The sequence below is a fragment of the Homo sapiens genome, chromosome 5, assembly GCF_000001405.40.
Source record: "Homo sapiens chromosome 5, GRCh38.p14 Primary Assembly".
Classification (NCBI taxonomy): Eukaryota; Metazoa; Chordata; class Mammalia; order Primates; family Hominidae; genus Homo; species Homo sapiens.
This window is the reverse complement of record NC_000005.10, coordinates 55,155,193-55,176,332: the sequence shown is the minus strand read 5'-3', so window position 1 is coordinate 55,176,332 and position 21,140 is coordinate 55,155,193. Positions and strand designations below refer to the sequence as shown.

Here is a 21,140-nt window from a genome sequence, read left to right as displayed (position 1 = left end):
TCTCATTTGTGGGGAAAGATCCACAGGGCCAGACTCTATGTGTGCACGTGCAAATACATTGAAAAGGGTCTGACGAAGGTCGGGGAAGGAGGAGGTTGGGAGAGCGGATTGAAGGGAGTGTACTTGGTATATTGCACATTCAGTGCATATGCCGCTGAAGCGAGCCCATGTATATGGCATATTTTTGAGATATTTAACATTCTTGATGTTTAGAATGAAAGTGTAATTGAAAAAAAAAAGAGATCGCATTTGGGAAGCTTGAATATCCTCTTGCTTCCCATTGATAGGGACCTACTGAGATTCTCAGAGCACCGGCGACTTTGAGAGTTAAGGGAAGCTTTTCCAAATTCTTTCTCTCCCTTCCTCCACTAGTCCACCTCCCCTCGCTCCTGTCGCCTTTCTTTCCTCAAAATCCTTCTTATTGGCCTTTGTCCAGGAGTCTTCCTCACAGCCTTTCTCATTGTCACATCCTCCCTGCAAAACCCATTCTCAAAGAGGAAACATTTGAAAGATAGTAAAGCTACTCTTAGGCGCATAAATATTTGAATTGGACATTGTTCCTAAACCATATTTGATAAAAATTAAGATAATATGTTTACAGGATGTTTCTGTTTTCCCCAAACAGTCTTACCAAAGTGCTTTTTAATAGAATGACCACATGATGTTAAATATTTTTCATTTTGAAATAATTTCAGGCTTAGAAAAAAGTTACAAAAATGGTACAAATAATTCCATTATATCCTTCACTCAGCGTTCACAAATCTTAACATTTTATATAGCTATAGTACAATAATCATAACTAGGAAATCAGCATTACTACTACTCTATTAACTAATCTGCAGATATGGATCAATTCAAATTTCTACAGTTATCTAACCAATATCTTCTTTTTTGTGGTCCAGGATTCAATCCAGGACCTCGCAATGCATTTGGTTGGCATGTCTTGTTTCTTTTAATCTGTGACAGTTTCTTACTCTTTCTTTATTGATGACTATGATACTTTTGAAAAGTACTGGCCAATTTTGTGGAAAGTCTTTTAATTTGGGTTTGTCTAGTATTTTCTCACTATTAAGGTTATGCATTTTGTGGGGCAAAAATATCACAGAAGTGATGTGTCCTTCTCATGAGGCACAGTATGTCAACATGTCTCACTAATGGTGATGTTAACTTTGATCACTTGGTTAAGGTGGTCTCTGCCAGTTTTGGCCAGTGAAAAGTTGTGATTTTATTTTTTGTGTTTAATTATAGGGGGAAGTATTCTCATCATATGCAAGGTAATTTTAGTATTCTTGACAGTTATTACTGTAATATTTGCCAAGTGGCGAGTTTCTGTTTCCATCATTCTGAAGTTAAGTTTTAATCTGAATATTCAACTGCATAATTACTTCCTAAAGATATTTGACTAATACTTTCTCTACTTCACACTAGGGGAAAAAAAGACATTTGGAGGCTGTGTATATGTATGCTGTGGAATTAATGGCTATAATGGAATTTATAAATGTATTTTTACAGATAATTGCATTCTAAATGAATGATTCACTATTCTTAGTACTTGTAAGAAATTGGATTCTAAAAATCCCAATTTACATGGATTTATGAGCTTATTAGTTGAATTGCTTTTATTCTGTGTTTATACAAAATGGTTAAATGTAAACTATATTTAAAAATAGAACAAAGATAATATGTCCTTCATATTATTTCCAATATACTTTGAGTTTTAGTTGGCATTTGCAAAACTGATCATTTAAATTAACAATGCATCTGACTCTCATCCAATAATAGTTTACTTTTATTTAGTCTTAATGTTTGCTGAAAGATTTACTGGAATTTGGAATGAGTACTCCACTGCAAGGAAAATAGACTTCTTGTGGGTGAAACTTAGAGATCTTTTAATCCACTAGTTATTTGACTATCAAACATTTTGATATATGTCATTTGAAGATTAAGTTACCCTATGCAGCATTATTATTGTACATAGAAAACTGGTCTAAGATTGGGTCTTAGTTCTAATGCCATTTTTTCTTGCTTTCAGTATGAAGGAAAGCAGGGGAGTGAGTTTTAGGTTTTTTTTTTTTTTTTTTTTTGGATCACTGACCCTTTTGAGTATCTGCTATCTATGAACTGTTTCCCCAGAAAAACACACAAACTCACATTGCCTTAGAGCAAAATACAATCCAATGTCAAAAATGGTTGGGGGGTTAGCAAGGGAGGGACAAACAGGCTGCCAGGCTGTCAGAGGCTTCCCAGATGCAGTGTCCCCTCCTGCCATATGGCACAACTCGGCTCTCTTGGCAGCTCAGATGGGCAGCTAAGGCTGCACAGCCCATCTGGTTCCCTGTCATTTCCCGCCAGACCTCTTCCTCAACCCTCAATATCTTCCTCTCCCCCTTTATCACGGAGTCCCCAGTGTGCTCAGCTTTCTGGCCCCCTCTTCACGCCTTATGAGGTCCTGCCTGTCACTGGTTCTTTCACTACCTCTTCACCTCTCTCACCTACCCCCTGCTAAGGAACAGGGCTCAGAAGCCCGAGTGAGAGGACCTGACTACTCCCAATGTATAGAGCAGGGAATAATTTATTGCATAAATATGTCAACGCTCTCCCTTTTGATCGGCATAGAAATCTTGCCACGTTTTCTTGCCTTCTGAAAACGAAGAGCTGACGAACACGCCTCACATCTATAGCTGACACAGCGATTACCAACGGACAGAGGCCGGAGAGCTGTGCACGCTCGGATCCTGCAAAGGCAGGGTGTGGTTGGAGAAAGAGAAGTGGGTGCAGAGGAACAGGGATCAGGGCCGTTATAAGGAAACATTCTTGTTTCTGAAAATGGAAAGATCGTGAACTCCCAGAACCCGCTTCTTCGCCCGCCAACCCCTCCGCCTCCTGCCGCGGTGGCAGCCCCCGGCGCCAGGCCCAGCCGCAGGCCCGCCACGGCTCGCGGCAAAGCTTGGCGCCCGGGTGCGCGCCTCGGCCGGAGGCGGTGGCGGGGCGGGGCCCAGAGAGGGCCGGCAGGGGCGGGGCCGCGGCGCGCGCCGGGGAATCCCACCCGGGCTCTGACGACACCGCGGCGCCGGCCAATAAGAAGCCGGCGAGGGGGATTCCCGCGCCGACTGCCGCCCCGCCGGCTTTTTAAATGGTACCCTGGGGAACACCTTGCAGCGGCGGTGGGAGGAGTGGGGGACCTGGAGGGAGGTGGTGAAATAGAATGGTCCTGGGGGACGGGACTCCAGGGGTTTGACGATTAGGCGTCAAGACTGACTTAGACCTGGGAAGAAAACCAGAGGCAGTCGAGCAGAGAGGCCAAACGCCAGGCAGGGCGAAGTCAGCCGGAGATGGAGTGGAAACTGGAGCGCACCGCGCCTCGGAGGGTCCGCACGGAAGAGGAGATGCTGTGGGTGAGTAACACCCTTTTCTGCATTCTCCCTAACTCTCTAATGCGGGGCCGAAGGCCCCGTTCATAATATCTGTTTAGGACCAAGAGGTGGTACGAAACTCTAAGCCCTGGTCGTAAATTTGAGTGATGTAATTTAGTTATATTCTGAAGGTGCCTAGTTGCCAAAAAAAAAAAAAAAAAAAAAAAAAAGTGTAATCTGACAAGCACAAGATCTAGAAAAATTCCACACCTGAAATTATGATTTTCCTAAATAGTTTCTCCCTCAATATGTTATCTGTGTTTTCAAAGGAAAGTATCATGCGTGTGCTCTCCAAAGACTTGAAGCAGAAGAGAAGTCAAGATTCCGCCAACGTGAGTCCAGGGCTTGTTCTTGTTCTCTGTTTTAATTCTGATCTTGAACAAACGAATTCTTGGTAAATAATGTATTTGTAGGAAGTTTGAGCTGGTCTGAAAATATGAGAATTTTAGTATCTTATTACATACTAAAAAAAATTTCTTTATGAAACTGAAGATCCCAGACAAATAATGCAATCGTTTGCATCTGAATCGTACTTTCTAGTTTCTGCCTCCACAGCAAAGGATAAAGCTGGGATGTGTCAGGTAGGCAGTGTATTGCTAGCGGCTGTTAATGATTTTAACAGTTGCTAGTTGCACTCCTCTCTGTTGCATTCAGAAGCACGCCCCCCAAAGAAATGGAAATGGTGCCATCTTGTGGACAATGTGGAGAAGTGGCATAAACCATGGTTCTTAACGTGAGCAATTTAAAGTTGATCCAATGTAGTACCTGTTCTCCTTGAAAGACCAAACCCAAAGGTCTTTAGTGTCTCCTGTAATCAGTGTAAAAGGAAACAAATTTAAATGGTTTTATAAACGTGTTTCATAAAGAGCCTTCATCTGCTTTAAATCTCTGTCACCATTTACCATGCTTCTCTCTAGGCTCAATAGTTCATCTTCCTTTGACCTGTACGCAGAGATTCTAGTTCCAAATCCACCACCATTTTAATAGATTTTTCTAGATCTTATATAAATTTTGCAACTAGGCACTGTGGCTCATGCCTGTAATCCCGGCACTTTGGGATGCTGAGGCAGGAGGATCACTTGAGGCCAAGACTTCAAGACCAGCCTGGACAACACAGGGAGACCTTGTCTTTATAAAAAAACTGCAAAAATTAGCTGGGCATGATGACATGTGCCTGTAGTCCCAGCTACTTGGGAGCCTGAGGCAGGAGGATTGCTTGAGCCCAGGCGTTCAAGGCTGCAGTGAGCTATGATTGCACAACTGCACTCCAGCCTGGAGGACAGAGCCAGACCCTGCCTCTTAAAAAAAAAAATTCAGTATTCAAGTGGTAACATCCTATATTGAATACATAATTGCATTTTCAGAACTCGATTACTAATGTCATTTCTAGTAGGAGAAAACTAATTGCATTTAAGCCCTTACATTTCTTAAATACTTTAATGTTGATTTTTTCCCCCAAACACTGCTGCAGTTTTGTGTCGTGCACAGCTTATGTATTATCACGACTCCTAGATATTTTACTGTCTAATACAGACAAGTAGTCTTTGGATCAGTAAACAGAAGTGATTTGAAAAGCTATAGTTAAGTAACTTTTTATTTATTTTTTTGAGACAGAGTCTCACTTTGTTGCCCAGGTTGGAGTGCAGTGGTGCAATCTCGGCTCACTGCAAACTCCAGCTCCCGGGTTCAAGTGATTCTCATGTCTCAGCCTCCTGAGTAGCTGGGATTACAGGCAGCACCACCACGCTGGGCTAATTTTTGTATTTTTAATAGAGACGGGGTTTCACCATGTTGGCCAGGCTGGTCTTGAACTTGTGACCTTAGGGGATCAGCCAACCTTGGCCTCCCAAAGTGCTGGCATTACAGGCATAAGCCACTGCGCCCAGCCTACAGTTAAGTAACTTTTAAAATTCATTTGTACTGTAGAACATATTTTTATCCAAGCATTTAATTTGGAAAACCTAAATGTAAGTATTCTGAAAGTTTTAAAGTTTTTGTTTAACTTTTATGTTTTTGACTAGATTCAAGCAAATATTGATTTTATTTCTTATAGTCTTGAAGTAATACATTTTGTGTATAAGTTTTCTTTAATGTGACTATTAAGATTAGAGTTCTGCCACTATGTTTCATGTTACAAATTTAGCCTCAGTGACTGCCTGGGCCACGAGAATCGGCAGTGACCTGAATCAGGTAGGCAGTGTATTGTTAGCTGGCTGCTTGGGTCAAGTCAGCAGCCACAACTACCCTGCCACTTGCTTCTGGATAAATTCTTCTTGTCAATGAAGTGCTCTGGATACCTGTGTGTGATGAGCTGGCAGTGTATTGTTAGCTGGTTGAATATGTGAATGGCATCGGCTAACATGCAACTGCTGTCTTATTGCATATACAATGAACATCAGAGTGTAACTGAATCTGTAATTAGTGTGTGTTTATGTGTACTTTCTGCTATGAAGCAAGCCACTATTTACCATAATATATTATTGCCATTAGCTTATAATACAGTAATACTTACAATGCACAGTTTTATAATGGTAAGGAAAGTATTACAATTACTTAAATTTTTTCCTTTTAAGAAAAATTTACTTATGCCTGCTTTTCCATAACTAAAAATTTTTAAGAAATATTTTTGGAGTCTTTGGAGTCTTTCGGAGTAGACAGTGTTTAAGTATTTATGAAATTACATGTTTTTAACTATAAGGTTTAGAATGTAATAACAATGTGGAATGGACCTACAATGTGTCCCCAGATTTTCAGTGAAGTCTTTAGGATTCTTTCTGCATTATTAGTTTCTTTCTTTTTTTTTTTTGAGACGGAGTCTCGCTTTGTCGCCCAGGCTGGAGTACAGTGGCGCGATCTCGGCTCACTGCAAGCTCCGCCTCCCGGGTTCACGCCATTCTCCTGCCTCAGCCTCTGGAGTAGCTGGGACTACAGGCGCCTGCTACCATGCCCGGCTAATTTTTTTGTATTTTTAGTAGAGACGGGGTTTCACCGTGTTAGCTGGGATGGTCTCGATCTCCTGACCTCGTGATCCACCCGCCTCGGCCTCCCAAAGTGCTGGGATTACAGGCGTGAGCCACTGCGCCCGGCCTCTGCATCATTAGTTTCTAAATACAGCATTAGAATTGGTTTCTATAGCCATGACTGTGTGTGTACCAACTGAAGGGAAAGTTGAGGTAATTTTCCAGATGAGTCAGTCAACTAAAACATTTTTCACTTGAAATATCAAGAATATTGGGGATTTTTTTTGGGTGGGGGATGGTTTACATTTTTTTGGAAGATCTACCTCAATCCTTTCACTTCATTTTCTGTAAAATCACAGGTTCATGAAATATTTGGAAGACAGCATGAGATCTAACAACTTGTGAAGTGGGAAGAACTGACCATACAATATGACCTTAAATATATTCTCATTACCTTGGAGGCATTTTGACCCACGAAGTAGCATAGATATGTGCTGGCTTCCAGACATGCAGTATTCTTGTGCGGACATTTGCAGCCAGTCAGTGGAACTGACTTTGGTGGTGCCATCAGTTAGTTAAGCCATAGATGAGATATAAGAAATATTTCGCATTCTCTACTGTACTGGATTATAAGTTATTGGTAAAATAATTTTTATGCTTTCCTTATTTAAACATATTTCTAGAACATGGGTTAAATAGATATCTATAATTTGATTCTTACGCATTTTACTACTTTCAAATCACATCCTCTTTTTGATGTTGCCCAGTGTTATTCACTTTCAGGAGATTTATGTTTAAGTATATCTTCCATGTAAATATTATTTTCATCTTGTCTTTTTTTAAGGTTAAATTTCAACATGTTATTTTCTATAAAGAATCACTGACCTAGTGATAAAAATAAAACCTACTAAATTTAGAAGCTTTGGCTTTTGTGTGTTAGTTTTTTTAAATTAAAGAGCAAGATATAAAATGCCAACTTTATTTTATTTTAGATCCAGGGGGTACATGTGCAGGTTTGTTACATAAATATAATAGGCGATGCTGGGGTTTGGGCTTCTAGTGAACCTATCACCCAAATAGTGAACATTGTACCCAATAGATAGTTTTTCAGTCCTTGTATTCCTTCCTTCTACCCCTTCTGGAGTCCCCAGTGTCTACTGTTTCCATCTTCATGTCCATGTGTACCCATTGTTTAGCTCCCACTTAGAAGTGAGGAACATGCCGTAATTGATTTTCTGTTTCTGAAAATGCCAACTTAAATTTTTTTAAGTTTTCTTTTTTAGAACTTTTGATTCTGTAGGGAAACCAACTTTATATTCAATAAACAGAAGACATTTAAAGTTGTGGTTTAGTCTCATATTATCGAGATGATGAGAAAAGAGGGAAGGAATGGAATGAAATAAAAATATGTTAAAGAAATAAAAAATATGTTAAAGAGATGAATGGGTTAGGAGGAAAGTGAAGATACAAATTAAAAGAGAAAATGTTTCCATAGGTGGGAGAGGGAAAGAAAGGGATACACACTGGGATGTCAAGGGTCAAGCAGAGGGAAAAGGGATGGTAAAAAGAGGAGGGAGGTTCTGCTGATGGCAAAGTATTTTCTCCCAGGTGTTTTCTCTTGGGGCAGTCTCTTGGCTGTTCACTGGTGCTGGGAATGTCACTACTTCCCATCGCTGCCCTCTGAACCTGTCACTATTATAGTGATAGCTTCCTAATTTCTCTCTCTCTGCTGCTTTTTATTCCCCTGCACTGCTCTGCAAGAGACAGCCTTAACAGTTCAGCTGGATGAGGGGAAGGGAAGAGTGGGAAGGAGTGTGGTGGATTAGTTTCTAGGCCTAACAATTATTAGAATTTTATTTGATGGGAAAGATAAAATCAAGCAGAGGACTAAATATGGATAGAGTGTCCTCATATCAGCTCCACCCAAACATGTCATTTTTCTTTCAAAGGAACACCACAAATCAATGTGGTGCAATCATGGCTCACTACAGCCTCTACCTCCTGGGCTTAAGCAATCCTCTCACCTCAGCCTCCTGAGTAGCTGGAACCACAGGTGTGTGCTACCGCACCTGGCTAATTTAAAAATTTTTTTTGTAGAGATGGGGTCTCGCTCTGTTGCCCAGCCTGGAGTTCAGTGGAGCCATGTCGGCTCACTGCAGCCTTGACCTCTTTGGGCTCAAGCAATCCTTCCACCTCAGCCTCCTATGTAGCTGGGACCTGAGGCATGTGCCACTACACCCAGCTAATTTTTTGATTTTTTTTGTGGAGACAGGGTTTTGCCATGTTGCCCCAGGCTGGTCTCTAACTCCTGGGCTCAAGTGATCCTCCCACCTCAGCTGCTTAAAGTGCTGATATTACAGGCCTGAGCCATCATGCCCATCACCAATTATCACATTTTTAGAAATTTTGCATCCTAGTTACTAAACCAGTGGTAGATTGAAATTGACCATGAGGGAGCATGAGCATTTACATTGAGCTGGCAAATGCTGTATGTCAGGATTCCTCCTCCAGAGTCTGCTATTAAACATGTACCAGCCACCATTATATATATGCTAGATACACTGCAGTTATTAAGAATTATATATATGTACACGTATATATACTATTGATACAGTGTAATTGTTAAACATTTAAAAAAATGAAATACAACTTTCAGGGCACATTTCAGCCAAATTCATATTTATTCCAGTCTCTAACACTCTGTTGTTATGTCTGCTGTAAGATGATCAGGAGTTAGTATGAAGTATTCTTCTCTACGCACCAAAGAAAACAAACAAAGCAAACTTCAAGTCAGTGAATTAGTTACCACAGTTAAAATGCATTTGATTTTGTCCTTTTCCTTTTTCACAAGAACGACAGCTGAATACTCTTTCATGTGATGCCTGATATTTTTCTTTTTCTTTTTCTCTCTTTTTTGAGACAGGGTCTTTAAGATGGGGTCTCGCTCTGTTGCCCAGGTTGGAGTGCAGTGGTGCAATCTTGGCTCATTGCAACCTCAGCCTCCTGTTTTCAAGTGATTCTTCTGACTCAGCCTCCCAGGTAGCTGGGATTACAGGCATGTGCCACCGTGCCCGGCTAATTTTTGTATTTTTAGTAGAGATGGGGGTTTCACCATGTTGGCCAGGATGGTCTCGAACTCCTGACCTGAAGTGATCCACCCGCCTCGGCCTCCCAAAGTGCTGGGATTACCGGTGTGAGCCACTGTGCCAGGCTCTGATGTTGATATTTTTCTGTTACAGTCCTTAGCCCAGGCATCCTGTAGCACTCTGTGTCCCAGACTTTTTGATGCAGAAACAAGACTGAAGGAAGATTGTCCAATATAGGAAAGATTCAACTTTTCCTCTATGTGTTTGTCCGCTGGTATTCCTATGAGGCATTTGAGTTACAGGTAGCAGCACATCAGCAAATGACTCCGCTCCCTCTCTCAGCACACATAGCCTAATTGTTACAGAACCCCGAAGGGACACCTGAATGTCCTTTCTTTCAAGGCAATATGTATGACACGCTTTCAAATCTCCTCCTGCCTACTCTGCTTACCTAAAGGGCAAGGGGAGAAAATCCAGCACTGACATAGAGTCTGTAGGTTGAATAAGGCAGCCAAGATTAGAGAGATGTAAGTGAAGAAACCCACTTTATCTGGCTTTGGAGAGAGCTAGTGACTTAAGGCAGGATGTTCATCTGTATCATGTTGACTGGGACAGTCCTGGTTGTTCCCAGTGCAGCTCCATTATCATCCATCTGGCAGTGGGGAGTCTCTGCTGCCCATGTGGTGCTGGCATATGCAGTTCTGCTCATGCTCCTAACGTGAATGCATAAAACACCCCTGCAGTGCCACAGCACTGCTATGAGTTCATGGAAGGCGTAGGTGAGGATACAAGGCAAGAGTGCTCTGGCACCAACACTTGGAGGGGCCACCTGAGCATAAGTTTTCTTAGAGGCTCAGAATTCAAATTGCTAATAGGCTCTTGGAGCAAAATTGCAAAGGACAGATAGGCTTGTTGGTGGCTTCTGTTTTCTTCGCTAACAATCCAGGTTAGTTCTGATTTCCTTCCTGGTCACTTAAAACACCTTAGTAAGTGTGTTAATTGACTTTTAGAGTTGCAAAGGGCTTTTTATTCCATTCAACCCCTGTTCAATTTACAGGTGAGGAAACTGAAATAAGGTACTTAAGTGACTTGCCTAAAGTCACGCAGCTGGCGAGAGGTAGGAGCAGGCTTTCTGACACACTCATCTGGCATTCTTGAGGCTATCCCTACAAATCCTCTTGACCTCTGGTAGAAATTCCACCTCCACCAAATATCTTTCTAAATACATTCATAGCTGGGTGGCTGGATATGGACTCTGAAGCAGAAGATGCTTCATGAAATATTTTTGGTTTATCTAATAACTTTGGTCCAAATACGTATACAGAACTATATACTGAGGTAGCATTACTGAATTTGCCATACGAAACATCTTCACTTTCATCCATCAGGTCAGAATTTGGGAGTCAAGTCACAGACTACTTAAATTGGGTCTTTTTCTTCTTAGACAAATTTATACGACTTTTTTACATTTTTGGCCATCTTCCTATTTAATTCTTTTATGCGATGAATGTATATTTCATGAGGCAATAATTAACCTTCACCAACTTGGCAGGTTGCTTTGTTAGTCAATTATAAGGCTAACAAAATATAAAGGTCATGACTTTGGGAGAAGAAATGCCTTGTGACTCTAAGAGGTTCAGTGACTGCTGATCTACACTTTAGGACTTGTATGATCACCCCCTTTTTATACTAGAATTTAGGCTGTTTGGAGTTGACTTTTACTATTTCAGCTATCAGAATGATGCAGCATTGAATTCCTCCCAAGTGGCTAATCTAGTACGAATACATTAGCAACCCAAATCAGCCTATAAGGAATCAAGTTAAATGATCTTATACTCATGTCCTTTTTTCTACACTTGGGATTTTCACGCAAAAATAAAGACTGACTTACTTGGTAATATTATGATTACAGAATTTGAGTTGCTTCTAAAAAATAATGCAGAGAGAAATACTGAAAATGATGAAGACTTTTTCAAATGTTATAATACGGTCATTTATAAATGACTATTTATATATGTCAGTTACATACATAGTGACAGTTATAGTAAAACACTAGGAACCTGTACTTAAAAAGAAAAAACAAAATCCTGTACACAAAACAAGCATACATATATAAGGATTTGAATCTATGTATATATATTTTACATTTTTCAACATTTGTGTTTTATTCCATTAACATAACCATTTACAGTTATTCCAGAAATTTCAGTCATACACAGTGCTCTTGAATCCAAAGAGTGGTCTAGTGTGTTGGCATTTTCATCAAGTACAGTCCTAGAAAATGTCAAGTTGAACAATAAGATATTGAGGCACATTGGTCACTGTGTATTCTGAATTCTTTAGTATGGTCAGAGGAAGTAGTTAATATATTTCATGTTGATTCTTTGGCTACTCTTGATTTTTGCTTTGGGTAACATCCTCATCCTGGGAACATTCATTACCACTTAATAGCAAGATAACATTAAAAAAAAATCCTTCATTGCCACATTTAATAGCATGTTTAAAAAGGCAGAGGTTGCAATGAGCTGAGAACGCACTACTGCACTCCAGCCTGGGTGACAGAGTGAGACACTGTCTCCAAAAAAAAAATGTTTAAAATGAGACCAAACCCTCATGGAGACATTTCTCTGTTCTATTAGAAACGCAATGGCATTCTCATAGATCCTCTTTCTTTTTTATGATCACTTGTCTAACCAGAGCTGCTATGTCAGGCCTGATGACTTCAATGGGCTCCTCTGGCTTCCAGAACTTCACAACTTGACCCTCAGGGTTGACAAGATACTTCCAAAAATTCCACCTTGGTTCCTTCTTTGAAGAATCTAAAATATCCAGAACATATTTTCATGAGCATAATTTTATTCTTTGTCAAGATTTTCACTTCTATTAGTATCTGCATAAATGATAACTTTAGTATCAAGTTCTAGGACTGTCATAATATAAAAAACAAAACACCCAAACGAAGTGAAACTCAAGGTTAGAGTAACCAGATTTCAATATACTTGATGACTTCACCTATGAGTCTACTCATCTAGTATGTGATCTTAGTATCAAGAAATGAAGCAAAGTAGGCTGGGAGCCGTGGCTCAGTCTGTAATCCCAGCACTTTGGGAGGCTGAGGCGGGTGGATCACCTAAGATCAGGAGTTTAAGACCAGCCTGCCCAACACGGTGAAACCCCATCTCTACTAAAAATACAAAAAATTAGCCGGGTGTGGTGGTGTGCACCTGTAATCCCAGCTACTCGGGAGGCTGAGACAGTAGAATCATTTGAACCTGGGAGGTGGAGGTTGCAGTGAGCTGAGACCACACCACTGCCCTCCAGCCTGGGGGACAAGAGTGAAACTCTGTGTCAAATAAAATTAAAAGCCAAAAAAAATGAAGCAAAGTTGTAATCCCAAATTGCTGGGATTACAGGTGTGTGCCACCACACCAGGCAAATTTTTGTATTTTGAGTAGAGATAGGGTTTTGGCCTCCCAAAGTGAATAATCACCTTATTTTGAAAAGCAATAACTTTTTTTTTGGCAGGGTCTCGCTGTGTTGCCCGGGATGGGCTTGAACTCCTGGGCACTAAAGTGATCCTCCTGTCTTGGCCTCCCAAAGTGCTGGGATTACATGCATGAGCTACCATGCCCAGCCATGATATCCTTTTGATAAATCTTAATTTATGTAAGAAATGTAGATTTTTTTTCTATTTATACCACTCAAGATTTATGTTCATTTTATTGACTAACATGAGGAAAAATATAATAATTATAACTAAAATTTATGAAGTGCTTACTATGTGCCAGATTAATGTACGCTCCGTGCTTCAAATTGATCCTCTCTTTTAATCTTACAGGGACCCTATGAGGTGGGTATTATTATCATCCCCGTTTTGCAGATGAGATAAATGGAAGCCTAGACACAAGGTCACGTGGCTAATGAGTGGTTGAGCCAGGATTGATATACGGGCCTTTTACTCCAGAGCTCATGCTCTTAACCTTTGGGCTCTATGATCCTTCCTATCTAAGTGGAATGACACCTTAACTCACTGTTACCTTTTTGATTACACAGGCTAAGAAGGGTTTTAGAAGGTTTGTAGTGATAAAGAGAAATAACCTATGAGCTATTGCACCCACGTATCTGGCTGCTGTAACTGAAGAATGATTAGTTCAATGGCATGTGCTTGGGCTTTTCTTTCCTCAGTGGACCTTCAAAATAAGAGGAATAAAGACCTCACTGTGGTTGCCATTTATGGCGTTAGGCATTATATCAACTTTCCCTAGAAATTAAATATAATGTTTTTAGAAGATTCTGACTTCACATTTATGTGAAATATTATAGATCACTATTTGGTTTGTTGGATTAGAAGCTTGATTGCCTGAGTGAGGTAATAGTTTGATCAAAACTCAACTTATTTACAGTGAAAATAGGACTGAAGATGTCATCAGAATAAGTTAGATGAGAGAACATTAGCTAATGTCCTTTATTTATTTATTTAAGATGCAGGCTTGCTCTGTCGCCCAGGCTGGAGTGCAGTAGCGCGATTTCAGCTCACTGCAACCTCTGCCTCTGGGTTCAAGCGATTCTCCTGCCTCAGCCTCCTGAATAGCTGGGATTACAGGTGCCCACCACCACACCTGGCTAATTTTTGTACTATTAATAGAGATGGGGTTTCACCATATTGGCCAGGCTAGTCTCTAACTCCTGACCTTAAGTGATCTGCCTGCCTCGGCCTCCTAAAGTGCTGGGATTACAGGCGTGAGCCACCGCGCCCGGCCTTTTTTTTTTTTTTTTTTTTTTTGACTAATATGGTTTAGAACAGTGTCTGGCACAGAGCAAGCAGTGTATAAGTACTTTATTTTTACTATTAACAGACTTAATTCCAAACAATCTTAAGAAGGCGGTACTATTGATAGCCCATTTTACAAATGAGAAACAGGCACAGAGAAGTTAAGAAGCCACATAGCAAAAACAAAAGAGCAGGGGTTTGAACCCAGGTAGCTTGAGGCCAAAGCCTATGCTGTCTGTATGCCTCATGACCTTTGTGCTAAGTGACCTTGGCAAGTCTTTAAACAGATTTCTGTAGCTAGCTTAATTGGAGAAATAGCCTAACACTACTGCCCTCTGAAAAAACCAAGTTATATGTTTTTGGATTTTAGCAAAAATCTGGTAAGCTGACATATTCATCTTTGAGAATATTGTTTCAGATAAGAAAGACAACATAAAATTAGCCACAAACATATGTTAACTAATAATGCCCAGCACTATTCATGAGAGCTGTGTGGCTATAATGACGGGAAGGGACATTTCTCCAGATGCTAGTTACAAGAGAGGAGAATTAAGATATTTTGTGAAAATAGCCATGGGCACACTTTAAGTAAATTCTTCAGGAAGATGGTAATAAGGAATAAAATATATTGGAATAGAATTCTTTTACCATCTAAGAAGCTAAAACATTGATTTCAGGGGAGCATAACTCCTAGAAGTTACAAAGGATGAGATTCTGGCTCTTTGATGATAGTTTTATGAAGCTTTCCCGATACAACGTTTCAAATGAAATAGGAAAGTATTGTCCTGGTATAATTGTTTAAAAATGAAAAGCAATTTAAAACAGCATATGCAAGGCAGATATTTACCAACAAGAAATCTAAATGCAGGTTCTCCTTCAGATCCTAGAATCTTAATCTTGTGGAAGATGGGGAAAGTTACTCCGTAGTTTTTTCTTGCAAAAGATTCTACTTCCTTGCTTGGGCGGGGCTCCGATTCTCCAAACTGATTGCAGGGAAAAGCCAACACGCTGAAGTGGGATGGTCCAAACTCTTTGTGCAGTTCCTTCAGCCCTAAGTAATTTCTGTCTGTGAGTTGGCAGTCACTGGCCACGTTTACAACTAGTGAAACCTCCCGGAAAAAGAAAAAAATCCAACCGGAAAGTGAAGCAAAAGATTTTAAAAAATTCTGCAAGTAGTTAAAATCCTAAACAATTTGGGGGGGACTATAACCTCTGATTGATGTTTTTTTCATATTTTTGGACATACACAGTTCTATTGAAAACTGTAACCTAGATGCCTGGGTTAAGGCCCTGAAATAGTACTGCCATTAAAAAAGCATTAGATACTCATGAAAGTTTATTTTTAAATTAAAGATAAAACTATGATCCTTGATAAGTTCTTTTTAAAGTTATTAGATTATAGAACCAATACTTTTATTAATAAATGTCATCATGTTCACATTACTAACTATAAGTATTTTCCAAACAACTTTACATGTCAATTCAGCACAAAATTAAAGCATTTTAAAGAAAACGAGATAATCGGAATTTATTATTTAGAAGCAAACTATCAGAACTGTAATAACTAAAGTGATGTACTAATACCATTACTCTGAAGACTAAATTCCAACTTATGACCATGTAACAGCAAAAAATTGATTTTATTAAGAGGAATAAACAGAGACAAGGAAAAATGATAACAATAAAAATCAGATGATGCAACTTACTTTGCCTTTATACTTTTCCAGAGAAACAGTTCTTCCTTTTGCATCCTTCACTTCAAAGGCATAAAAGCTGTTGATTTTAGGTTTGAGGAATTTTAGTTGTAGAAGAAATAGCGTTACTGTGCATAGAACTATAGACAGCAAAACTGCAAATACCTTTGCTCTGGGCCCGGAACATTTTAGCGGGTAAGCTGCAAGAGGCTCCATGTTGGAGGATTCTAGAGGGAAGTCTCAGCAGCCTGGAATTCAAGGAGGAGCTGAAACTTGAAACCGGCTTAGTTTAACGGAAAACCAGGAAGGACAGGCTGACTGCTTTCACTGCTAAGGAACAGAAAGACCACTTCTCAGAGGGGAAATGAAGCGAAACTCCTGAATGAAGCAAGGAGCTCTACAGAATTTCAAAGTATTTGTGATGTAATTATAATTTTTGCTAGAAAAATCAGGACATTTTTGGTAGGTCTTTGACATTCTCCCTACAAAGAAAATATTTCGCCAGAAGATGGTGCTCTTGTAACTCGAAAGCTACGGAGGGCTCATTCCCCATGCTAAGCTGTGTATTTATTGAGCAACTGTTTGGATGCAGAGGATGGAGTACGATGCTCAGCAATAGTTTAGAATGTAGATTAAATGTGACCTACTCATATGGTGTATACCCTGAAGGACGTTACTATTACATGTATGGGTTAAACATGCTATATGAGTTCAGGAAATTTATAGTGGAAAGAGCAGGGAAATATCTGAAAAAGGCTATTTACCCTGATTCATCTAGCTAAGGCAATCAAATACCAAGTGAATACAGTCAAAATAAATATGTTAAAAACAGTGAAGGTGTTAAAAGAAACCCTTCTCTATCATAGAGCAAACTATAGTCCAGTGTTTTTCAAATTTCTACTCATGACCCCCAGTCAGCAGTGCACTTTACAACATAACTGGGTACAAACAACACACAACTGAGAAACAACACTTCTCCTTTGAACTGTGATGCACCCCCACCTGTTGCATTTTTAAACAACCCAGTTCTGACCTATCAAAATGATTTCATCATTCACCGATGCACTACAACCTGTAGATGGAAAAAACTGAGGCCGGGCATGGTGGCTCACGCCTGTAATCCCAGCACTTTGGGAGGCCTAGATGGGAGGATCACTTGAGCCCATGAGTTCAAGACCAACTTGGGCAAGAAAGCGATACCCCTGTCTCTAAAAAAGAATTTTAATTAGCTGGTTGTGGTGGTGCATGGCTGTGGTCCCAGTTATACAGGTGGCAAAGGTGGGAGGATCGCTTGATCCCAGGAGGTTGAGGCTGCAGTGAGTCGTGTTTGTAGACTGCAGCCTGGGTGACAGAGTGAGACTATCTTAAAATCAGAACAAAAGAAGAAGAGGGAAAAAAGCAAAAATTGAACTCGATAATAAAGTAGTAATTTAACAGTTAAATAAGGCAATTCTACCAAAAAAAATCCCTGAAAACAAACAAACCCTGCAAAACCCACCTCTACTTGGGCACGTCATCTAATTGCTTCGTTTTTTCTCTTTATTTCCCTCCCCTGGCTGTTGCCTGGCACAGGGGGCCTAACTTTGCTGTTGCTAACGGTCATGAATTTTAGGGGTAGGTATGGGGAGGCAATTGAGGGCTGTATATCCTAAAAGCCATTCACTTTCAATTCTGCTCTGTTTAAGACTCATGGCAAGATCTGGATGAAGGGGCATTATGCCATTTGATCATGATGTGTTTCCAGAAAGTGCAGGGAATGAGCTGAGATGTTTGTGGAGTGCCCTTCCTGTCACTGTTAGCTTGTGGAGCTTCAGAGAGGGTGCTCAGGGTGCTGCCTGCTCTTCTGGTTCCCGCTCTGTGGCATGTGTGTTTTCGGGTGGCTGAGCAAAGCCCATAGCCTACTGTGTAAAACTTGTGAGAGGAACCGCTCGACTCCTACTCTCATGGCTCAGTAAGAATGGATACAGTAGAAAAAGCAATGATTATGCAGAAAGTATTCCCTTTTAAACATAATTCCTAGTAAAGAACAAAAATGTATGTAAGATGTGTTGTATCACTTCCTGATAATTTTACTTTGGTGTTCTCTGGCTGAATTGTTTAAAAAGTCAAAGTCCCTGTGTTTATATGACATGAACACTGCTATGTTGCTTAAGCTCTCTGGCCTTGCTCTCTAAGTGGGATCTGGGACCTTCCACAGTACCATCACCTGGGCATTTGTTAGAAACACAGCATTTTGGGCCCCACCCCAGACTTCCCGAGTCAGAATCTGTACTTTTACAGGATCTCCTCATGACACATACACACGTTTAAGTTTGAGAACCTTTAGACCTCAAACTTTTTTTGGTTTCAGAGCAACAAGAGTCTTTGGTTTGTCTTTGTTTTCCATAGTGGATGTGTTCATGTCTCTATGAATACACGAGATATTTTAACTCCTCAGGCTGTACAAGCAAATGGCTTAGGAACATGCATTTTAAAATTAATTCATAGAATACCTGCTGTAATTTGAGCCGTGTAAACCCAAGTCATTATAACTGTGTTTTGAGGTGGAAAGAGAGTGATTTATCTTTGGCAGGGATGTTGACTGACCACCGCTTAGGCAGGGCCCCCTAGGGTGATATTATTTTGATAAAATCACTGTGATAGTTTCTAGTCCATTGTATTATAAGTACAGAAACTCTTATCAAGTGATCCAGAGATGAATGGATTTGAAAATGCCAAAATTATGCTGTTACAAACTTGCTTGTGATTGCTGAATAAGCCAGTTTTTACACCAGAAATAAAACATTATGCAGGCCTGATGTTGAGGTTGGTTTCACCACAAAATTCCATATTATATGAATACAACTTTGAAAACTTACGTGTATATCTCCTGTCAAGGATGAAATCAGAGCCAGTTTGTTAATTTAATGTTCCTAAGGCTTAAGAGCTTCAAATAATGAAGGCATGATATATAAATTTTCATACTGACCCATTAACCAAACATTCAGACAGCACTTTGGAGAACTTGTGCGCTGGACAGCATTGGATGAACACAGATTTTGGCCCTGTCACACCTCTTCTTTGTTGTTTTGGCAGTCTTTCTCTGCACACATTTTGATGTCATCATCTCTCAGCCTTCTGGGGATCCACCATTATTGTTTTCATGTTCTGTCTATACTAACTCTATTCTCAGACTATACATATATCAAAATGGCACATTTCTCTGCATAAGGGGTAGTATGTTAGAAAAACCACCAGCGCTCTTTCAGTAAATGAAGGAAGGCTTCTATAGGAGGAGAAGAGATTGATGAGTTCATGATGAAGGCAAGAGGAAGCTACTGGGTCAAGAAGGGCATAAAGTAGTTGACTCAGTTATCAACCAACTCAAGCACTGGAAAGGATACAAATAAGGTGCAAGGGAAGGAGCCAGCCTCATGCAACTGTAAAAGCAATTTTGGAAATATGAGAACACACAAGAAACGGAAGGATTACAAGGCAGTAAATAACTGAGTGCTAAATAAATGACTTATTTTTTTATTTATTATTATTATTTTTTGAGACAGAATCTCACTCTGTCGGCTAGACTGGAGTGCAGTGGTGCAACCTCGGCTCACTGCAACCTCCATCTCTTGGGTTTGAGTGATTCTCCGGCCTCAGCCTCCCGAGTAGCTGGGACTACAGGCACGCGCCAAAATGCCCGGCTAATTTTTGTATTTTTAGTAGTGATGGGGTTTCACCATATTAGTCAGGCTGGTCATGAACTCCTGATCTCGTGAGCTGCCCGCCTCGGCCTCACAAAGTGCTGGGATTACAGGCATGAGCCACCATGCCTGGCCAGTGACTTATGTTTTTAGAGAGCTTTATACTGCACACAATCTTCTTTAGTAGACACATTACCTTCTTCACAGTAATTCTTTGAAATAGGGAGCAGTTAACTCAGCCAAGATCACAGAATTAGTGAATGGAACAATGAAGAATAGAGTTTTGAACTTTCGACTTCATAACCAAAATTATTTCAACTTCATGAAACTGTTTCTGTGTAATAGGTGAATAAATTTATTTAGAAGAAAACATTGTAGGTGAGATGGCTGTAGTACTCTGGTGGAGGGGTCATATGGTTTGGCTGTGTCCCCACCCAAATCTCACCTTGAATTGTAATAATCCCCACATATGAAGGGTGGGGCCAGATGGAGATAACTAAATCATGGGGGTAGTTACCCCTATACTGTTCTTGTGGTAGTGAATAAGTCTCACGAGATCTGATGGTTTTATAAATGGGAGTTCTTCAGCACAAGCTTTTGCCTGCTGCCATGTAAGACATGCCTTTGCTCCTCATTCACCTTCTGCCATGATTGTGAGGACTCCCTAGCCATGTGGAACTGTGAGTCCATTAAATCTCTTTCCTTTATAAATTACCCAGCCTCAGGTATGTCTTTATTAGCAGCATGAGAACAGACTAATACAAGGGGTTTCATTCGTGAGGAGGCATTTTGTTTTATAAGAAATCACTGTATAAGCGCCCAGAAAGGGGAAGGCATGGAGAACACCACCAAAAGGCTTTTCTGTGTGTACTGAAGTTATCTGGAAGGGGCCACGGGAGGTCTGCAGAGCAGCAGGTCCAGATGATAGGCGAAGAGTCTTAGTGAAGGTAGCCTTGGCCAGCATGATGGAAGGAAGGGGGTGGGTGCTAAAGATGCTCTGTAGACCCTGCGGGCAGCTGCTGGCGATAGAGATAAAGGATGATGTTTACCTGAAAATGACCTTGACAGTGTGTGGGTCATATTGCCTACTAGGATGGGAGGGCGTTGAAAGTTCAAACATGAGACGATGAACATTTTGGTCTTCATGACTAATTTGAAATAGTATTGAGACCCTACATTTGAAACATCTTGTGGACAGAATGCTGCTGCATTGGGCTGGTGGTGGGTGGGAGCGGCACACACTCAGAGGTTAAGGAACGGGGTTGGGGTATGCTTCAGAGCTACCTGGGCTGTCTTTGCTACTTTTATCTTTCTCTTGAGGTTCTAGCAAGACTAGCATCGCCAGCAGGTCTTTTCTGGGATGTCTAGGTTTTTCCAACCCACTGGATATTTGTGTGTCAAATTATTTGTCAGTAGACATATTTGTTTCTATTTTCTCAGTTGTTTCATTCTGCTACTTCCTGACCTTATTTTTAACCCCTCTGGGTCCTTTTCTAATTATTTTTGGCACTGGTGCTCTGAATTCCTCCTGGTTTA

The 21,140-nt window shown here is 40.5% G+C and overlaps 2 protein-coding genes and 3 non-coding genes across 15 annotated transcripts in view, besides 2 other annotated features; 4 read left to right on the top strand and 1 right to left on the bottom strand.

Moving 5' to 3' along the window:
* Window positions 2,721-3,050: a silencer, noted in NCBI's record as "silent region_16009". NCBI's record gives its function as "represses an Ori minimal core promoter by ATAC-STARR-seq in GM12878 lymphoblastoid cells {active_cell/tissue: GM12878}" and the evidence as "EXISTENCE:reporter gene assay evidence [ECO:0000049][PMID:35858748]".
* Window positions 3,138-3,432: a silencer, noted in NCBI's record as "tiled region #4084; K562 Repressive DNase matched - State 4:PromP". NCBI's record gives its function as "represses a minimal TATA promoter and a strong SV40 promoter by Sharpr-MPRA in K562 cells {active_cell/tissue: K562}" and the evidence as "EXISTENCE:reporter gene assay evidence [ECO:0000049][PMID:27701403]".
* Window positions 3,156-21,140, top strand: part of CDC20B (cell division cycle 20B) — a 60,207-nt gene continuing 42,222 nt past the window's right edge. For all 3 annotated transcript variants that reach the window (NM_001145734.2, NM_152623.2, NM_001170402.1), the window contains exons 1-2: window positions 3,156-3,395; window positions 3,683-3,745. In NM_001145734.2, the coding sequence (NP_001139206.2) occupies window positions 3,333-3,395; window positions 3,683-3,745 (126 nt within the window). In that variant the 5' untranslated portion in view covers window positions 3,156-3,332. The remainder of the gene's footprint in view (window positions 3,396-3,682; window positions 3,746-21,140) is intronic.
* On the top strand, window positions 3,980-4,071 carry MIR449C (microRNA 449c). Its single transcript, NR_031572.1, has one exon. It is a non-coding gene; the product is annotated as a microRNA 449c (primary transcript).
* On the top strand, window positions 5,591-5,687 carry MIR449B (microRNA 449b). Its single transcript, NR_030387.1, has one exon. It is a non-coding gene; the product is annotated as a microRNA 449b (primary transcript).
* Window positions 5,711-5,801, top strand: MIR449A (microRNA 449a). The gene has a single exon (NR_029960.1). It is a non-coding gene; the product is annotated as a microRNA 449a (primary transcript).
* On the bottom strand, window positions 9,036-16,162 carry GPX8 (glutathione peroxidase 8 (putative)). Of its 9 annotated transcripts, none has more exons than NR_131336.2 (4): window positions 16,090-16,162; window positions 15,937-16,003; window positions 15,078-15,339; window positions 9,036-12,278 (listed from the first exon to the last, which is right to left on the bottom strand). NR_131336.2 is itself a non-coding variant. In XM_006714631.3 (3 exons), the coding sequence occupies exons 1-3, from the start codon at window positions 16,138-16,140 to the stop codon at window positions 12,115-12,117; spliced, it is 633 nt and encodes a 210-aa protein (XP_006714694.1). In that variant the 5' UTR covers window positions 16,141-16,162; the 3' UTR covers window positions 9,036-12,114. The 9 variants fall into 9 exon arrangements, 5 of the variants coding, with proteins under 5 accessions (XP_006714694.1, NP_001008398.2, NP_001293126.1 ...); NR_131337.2 differs by having other exon boundaries at window positions 15,078-15,281; NR_131340.2 differs by having other exon boundaries at window positions 15,078-15,329; window positions 15,937-16,162.

Coding starts and splice junctions, on each gene's coding strand:
- GPX8 (XM_006714631.3), bottom strand. CDS start 16,140: ATGGAGCCTCTTGCAGCTTACCCGCTAAAATGTTCCGGGCCCAGAGCA. Junction 15,343..15,936: donor TGGAAAAGTATAAAGGCAAA/GTAAGTTGCATC, acceptor TTCTTTTTCCGG/GAGGTTTCACTAGTTGTAAA. Junction 12,279..15,077: donor TGCATTTAGATTTCTTGTTG/GTAAATATCTGC, acceptor TGGATATTTTAG/ATTCTTCAAAGAAGGAACCA.